This window comes from Homo sapiens, chromosome 21 (assembly GCF_000001405.40).
Source record: "Homo sapiens chromosome 21, GRCh38.p14 Primary Assembly".
Lineage (NCBI taxonomy): Eukaryota > Metazoa > Chordata > Mammalia > Primates > Hominidae > Homo > Homo sapiens.
The window spans coordinates 21,960,393-21,969,945 of NC_000021.9; the positions used below are offsets into that span (position 1 = coordinate 21,960,393).

The 9,553-nt window shown below is 36.2% G+C and overlaps 1 annotated feature.

Moving 5' to 3' along the window:
• Positions 8,498–8,792: a silencer, noted in NCBI's record as "tiled region #9223; HepG2 Repressive non-DNase unmatched - State 24:Quies". NCBI's record gives its function as "represses a minimal TATA promoter and a strong SV40 promoter by Sharpr-MPRA in HepG2 cells {active_cell/tissue: HepG2}" and the evidence as "EXISTENCE:reporter gene assay evidence [ECO:0000049][PMID:27701403]".

Here is a 9,553-nt window from a genome sequence, read left to right on the forward strand (position 1 = left end):
CCAAAGTGAGATTGTTTAATCATTGGTAGTTGTATTTTTAGTATTTTTGAGATTCTCCATACTACTGCTTTCCAATGTGGCTATGCCAATTTACATTCCCACCAACACGGTACAAGGGTACCTCTTTCTTCACATACATCCTTTCTAGCATTTTTTTTGTCTTTTTGATAATAGTTACCCTAACCTGATGAGATAATATTTCATTATGGATTGGATTTCCATTTCCCTGATGGTTAGTGATGTTGATAATTTTTCTTTCACATGATGTTGGTTATTTCCATGTCTTCTTTTAAGAAGAGTCTTTTCAGATCCTTTACTCATTTTAAAAATTTGATTATTTGGGTTTACTCTTTTTTGGCTATTGAATTGCTTGAGTTTCTTGTATATTCTGGTTGTTAATCCCTTGTCAGATGCATAGTATACAAATATTTTCTATTATTCTGTAAATTTTCTCTGCACTGTGTTGTTTCCTTTGCTGTGTAGAAGCTTTTTAGCATGATGTAATACCATGTGTCTATTTTTTGCTTTTGTTGCCTGTGCTTTTGAGTTCTTGCCCAAGCATCTTTGCTCAGATTGATGTCTTGCAGCATTTTCCAGTGTTTTCTTCTATTATTTTCATAGTTGCAGGTCTTACATTTAAGTCTTCAATCCATTTTGAGGTGATTTTTGCATATGGTGAAATACGGGGATCTAGTTTCTTTCTTCTGTATATGAGTAAAAGATTTCCCAGGATCATTATTTCTATTGTGAATAATGCCGCAATGAATGGTGCATGCATGTGTCTTCATGGTAGGTAGAACAACATACATTCCTTTGATTGCTGGGTCAATAGTAATTCTGTTTTAAGTTATTTGAGGAATTGCCACACTGCTTTACACGATACCTGAACTAATTTACATTCCCTTCAGCAGTATGTAAGCATTCTCTTTTCTCCACAATCTCACCAGCATCTGTTATTTTTTGACTTTTTTGTAATAGCCATTCTGACTGGTGTGACATGGTATCTCATTGTGGTTTTAATTTGCATTTATCTAATGATTAGTGATGTCGACTATTTTTTTCATATGGTTGTTGGCCACGTGTATGTCTTCTTTTGAAAAGTGTCTGGTCTTGTCCTTTGCCCATTTTTTTTTAATGGCATTGTTTTTCACTTGTAAATTTGCTTAAGTTCCTTATAAATTCTGGATAGTAGACATTTGTCATATGCATAATTTGAAAATATTTTCTCCTATTTTATAAGTTGCCTGTTTGTCATGTTGATAGTTTCTTTTGCTGTGTAAAAGCTGTTTAGTTTAATTAGGTCCTATTTGTCAATTTTTGTTTTGGTTGTCCTTGCTTTTTGTGTCTTTGTCATAAAATCTTTGGCTGTGCCTATGTCGTGAACGGTATTGCCTCGGTTGTCTTCCAGGGTTTTTATAGTATAGTATTATATAATACTATCAAATACTCTTGCTTTCTACTTTGGAAATTGTTGAATAAATGGTTTGAAATTAAAGAGGATTGTAATTTGAGTTTATTTTAATTTACTTTGAAAATATATTTAGAAATATCACGTCTATTATTTTTTAAATATATTCTATTATTGTCAACACATTAGCAAATGCATTATTATTATAATCTATATTCCAGAGTAATGCAATAAATAAGGAATAAATTTTATAGTAAATAGGAAAAAGCAAAAGGAAAAATGTTTCTAAAGGTTTAATAAAAATAAATGCTAGAATTTAAGAAAAATAGCTATGTTTGGAAACTATTGATCCATGCTTTCAGAATTAATTTAGGTTGCTGATTTATTTTTTAGGTCAACAAACATTTTTTGACCATGTTTTATATATTAGACCCTGAAGATACAATACCACGCATGTGCACTACTTTCAAGAAGTTTGTAATACAAGGACAAAAATCTATGCATACCATATAGTGATTCATGGAATTGGAGGAATAAGTCAAAGCCTCTAATACTGAGCAGATGTTAAGAAGAGTAGGTTATTGCTGTATGAGGGCATTATTTTGAACTTCCAGTAATAAATTGGAGTGAAAATTATAGTTTGGCCTGCATATAATATAAGGAGGTGATTTAACTATTAGGGAGTTTTATTTATAATTATCCTGATTACCCAGTGAGTTATAAAACATCAGGATTTTTTTCTAAATATATATTTAATCTATTAGATTACGTTGACACATGAATAGTACTTCTCTATGAGTTTAAAAATATGCAAAAAGTTAAACACAGATGTGGATAAGAGTAGAATAAAAGTGGATGATTGGTGGATTATGTCATCCCTGAAAATTGAATACTAAGGATCTTTTGTAACTTTAAAAAATATTTTCCCTCTTTAAATAGAAGAATCTTCCATGTGAGCTCAATTCCATAATTTATAAATGAGATAATTTGCAAAATTTCAGTACTTTTTAGTGGTAAATGTTTCACATTTGTTCTAAAACATTGTTTTACTTCCATATTAAGTGAGTTACCGGCCACTTGTGGTGGTCCATGCCTGTAATCCCAGCACTTTCGGAGGCCAAGGTGAGCGGATCGCGAAATCAAGAGATTGACACCATCCTGGCCAACATGGTGAAACCCCGTCTCTATTAATAATACAAAAATTAGCTGGAAGTGGTGGCGCACCGGTAGTCCCAGCTACTCGGGAGGCTGAGGCAGGAGAATCACTTGAATGCAAGAGGCAGAGGTTGCAGTGAGCTGAGATTGTGCCACTGCACTCCAGACTGGTGACAGAGTGAGACTCCATCTCAAAAAAAAAAAAAAAAGTGACATACAAACATATTTTCAATAACATTATCATAATGCTTATTGAATGAACACACAGATAACTTGAGTCAAGAGATTTTAATCTACTCTTGTTTCCTCATGACTGGGTTTTCACTGCTGTTTGAGACTGAGCCCACTCCTTCAACTATCCTCTTCATTAACTTTATCTTAGAAGTCTTTCTTTCCTGCTCCCCACTTGAGATTTGAGACACACCTACGACATCCAATTTGCTGGGCTCCTTCTCAGCATTAATCCCTTCTGAATGTAGTTATATAATTCAGTTAGTTTTCTTTCATCATGTCTTTGCAATCATACTGACAAAGAGTTACTAAAAGTAAAACTAATATTGCCCATTATCTGTCTTGACATCCAATTTCCTTAAAGATATTTCTTTAAGAAAACACCATATTCTTTTATTCCAAAGGAGGATTTGTATTTGTTTTTGAATATAGCAGTTTGTAAATATTACAAATTAAACTAAAATGTAGATTAACTATCCATTGTAAAAAATATTTGAGCTTTATCAGAGCTGATAAAAAGAGGTTAAAATGTTGAAAAAGATCATAAATTCAATGGCATTTTGTTGTGTTTTAGAATAGAAAACTCACTTAAATTGTTAAAAGAAGACTTGCTAATTTATCTTTTCCCCATTAGGTTCAGTGCATTTTGGTAGATGAAGTTTAGAAAGAGGAAGGGAGCTCAGACTTAATAGTTGGAGCCAACTAATATACTGCCATTCTAGTCTTTATGTTAAGATACTAGGGACAGAGTGTTCAATCTGTGTGTTATTATTAGTAGTATTGGCAATGAGAATATGTAAAGCAATAATTCTCAGCTGTGGGAAGGCAGGCACAGCAGCCTTCAGAGCTACCTCATATATGGTTCTCACATTCCCCTAAATTACCTTAACCCATAAATCACTTTTATTCATCACTGTTTCCTGTGATTCACTGGGAAAAGCCTCGAAGAGCATCCTGTTACTGAGGTGAAGACAAAGCCTGGGCTGTCCCAGGCAGTTCCTCTCTAACTCAAGATGTCACATTTCTTAGGAGGCATAGGAATAAGACCTTGGTACTTTCAGGCAGTTCCACCCCCTCTCAGAATATTGCACTCCCAGCACATTCTACAGTTATTCTTAGAAGTATAATCATAAAATCATAAATAATTGGATGGATTCAAGGCCACCTAAAGAATTGTCCTCCAGTAGAGAGTAGAATAATAGCTTCCAGAAACTGTTAGGGAAGAGGGTATGTAAGGAAAGGGGAGATACTAGTCAGAGGGTACAAAGTATTAGTTAGACTGACAAGAGGAAAAAGTTCTAGTGATCTACTGTACAGCATGGTAATTATATTTAATAATAATAATATAGTATATACTTTAAAATTACTAAAAAAGTAGGTTTTTTGGGAGGTGATCAGACCCAACACCAGGTCGTGGGGGTGACGAAGTCTGGCGGAGTCAAAGGAATGAGAAAAAGACAATTTGAGAGAGAAAGTGGGACCAGGGGGCCATTGCGAGTGTGGAGGCTGCAAAGGCCCCGAGCTCTGGAAGCCCACGCTATTTATTGGTGATCAAACAAAGAACAGGTGGTGAGGATGTGGGGGTTGAAAGGAAATGGAGTATCAAGTGAATGAGAAACATATGGCTACTTGAGATAATGGGAGTGCTAGAAGCAAGGAACCAGTAAGTCTAGCAGACATGCAAGCCCTGCCTCAGCTTCTCTCCCAACACTCAACTTTTCTCCCAACAATTTTAAATGTTTTACCAACAAATAAATAATGATGATGAATATTGTAATTAACCAGATTTAAGCATTCCACAATATATACATGTGTTATAACATCACATTAAAATATTTACAATTATTATTTGTCAATTAAAAATAAAATTAAAAAAGAAAATATGGTAATATGGTAGAAATGAAATAATAAACCAGACTGACATGATATCTCTCTTTAAGTAACTAATTATTTTCTGTAGAAATATATATACAAAGACTTAATTACATTTGTGATAAACACAATGAGATTATACAGTACAATAGGGAGGGATTATATTCTTGGGAGTTAGAGAGACTTCTCCAAGAAGGTGATTTATTAGTTGAGATAAGAAAAACAAGTAGGTATTAGACATAAAGAACAGGAGGTGAGAAAAATTAAGTTAAAAAAAGGAAAGCTGGTTGTTTCGTGGATGAAAGGATGAAAGGAGTTTAGTATATTTTTAAAACTGAGAGAAAATGGGATAGCTTTATTGTAAAGATCTTGAAGACAGGGGTTCACTACAGCTTGAAGAGGTGATCAGAGGAAAATTCATACAACAGTGCTTCACTACAGCTTTAAGAGGTGATCAGAGGCAAATTCCTACAAGACTTTATTCTCAAATCAATTGAATGTCATTATTCTTTTGGGTATATACCCAATAATGGGATTGCTGTACCTGGGCAATGAAATATGTACACCAAACTAACATGGCATACAATTACCTATGGAATCAACCTGAACGTGTACCCCGAAACTAAAATAAAAATTTTTATAAAAGTTGAGTGTCATTAAGGAGTTTTTTTGTTTGTTTTTGTTTTTGTTTTTTAAATCAGGTTTGTGATCTGATCAAAATCCTATTGAAGACATCTTTGACTGCTGTGGGCATTAGGGAGTGGCAAGAGTGGAAGCAGATAGACTTGCACTACTGCATGGCCCCTTGTAGCAATCAGCCAGAAATCAGAAGCTCCTCTATGTGTTCATTCATGAAGGGCTTAAATGGAAAGAAGTACAGGTTTACACAATCATTGCTGGAACAAAGAGGAGCAAAGTCATCACTCATGTTTTCAGTCTGCAACAACAACATGGTTGCTCTCGTGGTTCTCAGAAATTATTGTAAACCTTAAATTTCAGAGCTCCCAAATATCTCAATCTAGAGCATCAATATGAATGCTCTTGTCAAGTCTAATATGAAGTCATAGTGAACCCCACTTCTGCAACTGCTTCCAAATGATGATGACCTCTATTTCTCTTCTTACTTCTAAATCTTCTCTCTCTTCTGACTTCTAAATCTTTTGTGAATGCCTCCCATAAACTGACTTTATCTAGAACTACATAAGAAAGGACTCTGAGAAATGAAGTTTTCAGCTTTACCCATGAAAGTCAGATGATATCTCAGGGGAGAGGTAGAGGCAATGATGAATTGACAACAGACAATATAAGAAAACCCACCCATTTATCAGTTGAGGGTTCATACACATCCCTTTTGCCAATTTAAAATTCTCGAGTAACAGCAGTGATAAAATCATTCCTGTCTCTTTTACGGGATGTGATCCCTTTTCTGTAATAAAATTATGATCATTCTCTCCTTCCAAAAAGGAAATGTATTGCTCTGTATATCGTAATACACATCTTGGAGTGACATTCACTCCTTTTCTAGTGACGTCTCAAGGCTTTTTTGATACAATGTAACATAAATACTAAATTATGTGATATCTTATTTTGGATTCTCTCTAAAAGCAGAGGTTAAGACAAAGATTTGACTGTAAGTAATTTGCTTGGGACATGCTCTAAGGAAATAAGATAAGGCTTCTAGGAAAATGAGACCGAGGAGAAGAAAAACAAAACGTGTGTCACTGAGCTAGAAGCTACTGTGGAAAATGGGAGTCACTCTCAATGGACACTCTCATTGCCAGTGTAGATTTCATTAAAGTCTTTCTGTCATGGATAAAAGAATAGCATATTTTCCCACTAACTCCTGTTCTCCAATTATTGAGAATAAATTTCCCTCTCTGAAAGGCAATAACTTCCTTGTATTTCCCAACAGTCCCGTTTGTGGGCCAGGTGACTTCAGAAAAAAAAAAGTCTTTAAACACAACAGTGAAGAGAATGGGCAGAAACTTGAGGTGAGGTGCTTTAGCCTGCACTGGAACTCACTAACACAGCAGAGGGGATTAGAGACCTGGGCAGAGAGTATATTGTTAAGGCACTAAAGATTCTGCCATACACCACATGGACCACTCACAGCCATTCATATCTCACACTACATCATTTCTATCACCAGCTTCCTCTTCCAGTCAAGATAGAGTAACAGAGACCATATTTCTGATTCTACTTGAAACGAACCAAGAAAAAAATGGACAGAATATGAAGCAACAGCAGGCAATGAAGGGCAGTGATCCATGGGAGTGAGATGAGGTGAGACCTATGATTGCTACAGTTTACTGGCTGCAGAAAATTTCCAGGATATGGGACAGGAAGGAGCAGAACCCAGGCACAATCCTGAACACTCTGTGAACTAAGTAGATCAAGCTGTGAACCTGGGTAAGTCAAGGCAGCTAACTAGCATTCACAAGGAGGGATACTAGAGAGGAGAGATTTCTACAGAAAACAGACTCCAGAGATCTGTTGAGTCTCACTCAATTATTCAGTTGAGGGCTTCTTAGCACATGTGTGTAGGGAAACTAGCTGAAATTAGGGAATTCGGTGTTGATATAATGGGGATAATCATCATAAGTCTTTAAGGGTATCACTGATCTCTGAATTCTTCTGTGGGTGCAGTAATGCTTCTGATTTACTCTTCCATCTGGAGAATGAAATGTCAGGCACTGCTTCACTTATCTCTTCTGGACATAACTGTCACAAGTTAGGGTTCCTTGTGAGAGTTTAGCCAATTGCTAAGTAGACTGATACCAGTTACACATCTAAGAATAAGGTAAATAGCCAGAGGGTAGGACCACTGGCCCATTAAACCCATTGTGAGATATACTAGAACTAGGAATCTGTTTATCACCTGACCTCCTTAAATCCTAAATCAAACAGGTCGGGAGCAAGGAGTGGTATGATAACATTTTGGAGACCTTGGTATCTGTGTCCATACATCAAAAAAAGTAGGTATTATTCTTTTTTTAATGGACAGTAGTCAGGTAGACGTCAAGTCACAATTTTCTAGAACACATTAGAGGAATATTTATTGTACAAGAGTTTCTTGAAATAATAATCCTTTGCAAGTGATACATGGTAGGGATCATGATTTTTCTATTGAAGCAGCAATAACAGATACTGAGTTTCTTTTGCTTGTGTAAGTTAAACAATAACGTGTCATATCAACATCTATCTTACCCCTCAGAGCACTGTAGTGTATTAGTAATCACTACAGATCATTGTGGAGCATGGCACCTTGGTTGCTACCCCGGCATTGTTTCTCTTTGGAATATTACTCTAACTCTTCTCCGATAGGTAAGTGTAGACACGTGGTTTCTGCCATTGTGGAATCCTGTCATCCTCATTGAAATGTGGGACCAAGACCACAGCAAGTTTTTCTACAGTTACTACTGACCATATGATGCCAATGCCCTCTCCACTGGTGCAATATTTATTGCTTTTGTGTAAGCATGTATTCTGGGCCATACTGAAGAACATTGTCAGATGATGAGATTTTCAGTCTGTTATAAAAAATCTATTCTTTTAAGTTTTTTTCCTTAGTTTTCTTACCTTTCACCCAAACTCTGACAAGTCTGAAATTTCTATAATTTCATTTACAAAAGGCCAATTTTGTCTCTAGGCATCATTTGACTGTCCTAAAGTATATTAGGATTAGTTCCAGGTGTCATTGTCTGATGTTAAAACTTGACTTACAGGAAAGTGATCAAACATCCATAAACTCAATGTTATTCAGGCATATATTTCACCTCCTCCCGGTCCAACAATGTTAAGGTCAACCCTCAAAATCATTTCTCTTGTTTCTGCTGGTACATAACTGTCAGATCCTGTAATATTTTCCTGTGAATAAGCTACTTAACCTCACAGCAGGGAACATATTTTTCTATTTGTGCTTGCTGAGATCTAAACCCAGCTATTTGTCAGAGGACAATGGTTAGTGCAGGTGTGAATACAGAACATGGTGAGTATACTTTGTATAAGATATGCATCAGGGAAGTGTGTCTAAGGCCCTCCAGGCAAGAGGAGGCTTCTGTCTTTCAGCAATGAGGTCTGTGTTGCTTGTACCAGCACTAAGAGTTTCAGGGAATCTGTGGATTCAAATGACTCACACGCAGTGATCCAAGTCTGTCCCCCATTCCCTACCAGGCCCTAGTTTCATTTTAGAAGATCTGTCAAATCTCTATTTTTTAAAAATTTATGATTCTTTATCATTGTGGTTAAATCTGCAGCCTGATTTGTAGTACTCTGCTCTATGGCTGCCAAAGTTGAATGTCTCATTAAACTCTGCCACAGAGGCCTTCTGGCTTCCAAGACGTGTCTTGAGTTGCTATTTGGCCCACAGAAACCTTTTTATTTAAGGCTTCCAAGGCACACAGAAGCCAGTCAACCACTAAATCTTCGTAATTACTATTGCCTGCATTCTGTTCAAGTGCTGAAAGTACAGCATAACACAATCATTGCTCTTCTACCTGTGCCTCATCCCAGTCCTTCAAAAATTATAGTATTGGGTTCATTATGCTATGGTAGGTCCTGGGTTAATACCACCCTACTTTCCCTCAGCAATAAGATTTGTTGCCAACTGACAGGTAAATATCACATACTGCGGGTCTCTGGGGCCACTCTGCTATAATTGGCTTTGCTTAGTAACTTCTGGAAAACAAAATCTGTCAATTGCTTCTGTAGAATCTTTGTTCCAACAAGTGACTTCTTGAAATAGAAGTCTAAAGGTTAATTGGTGACAGAAGGGTGTGTGATAGCCTTAAGAGCTCAACATTTTGTTGTCTTTCAAACATATCTCTTTTCCTTTCCTCTTTCTCTCAACTGTTATCAACCTGTTTACCTTCCTTAATTGCATAATCA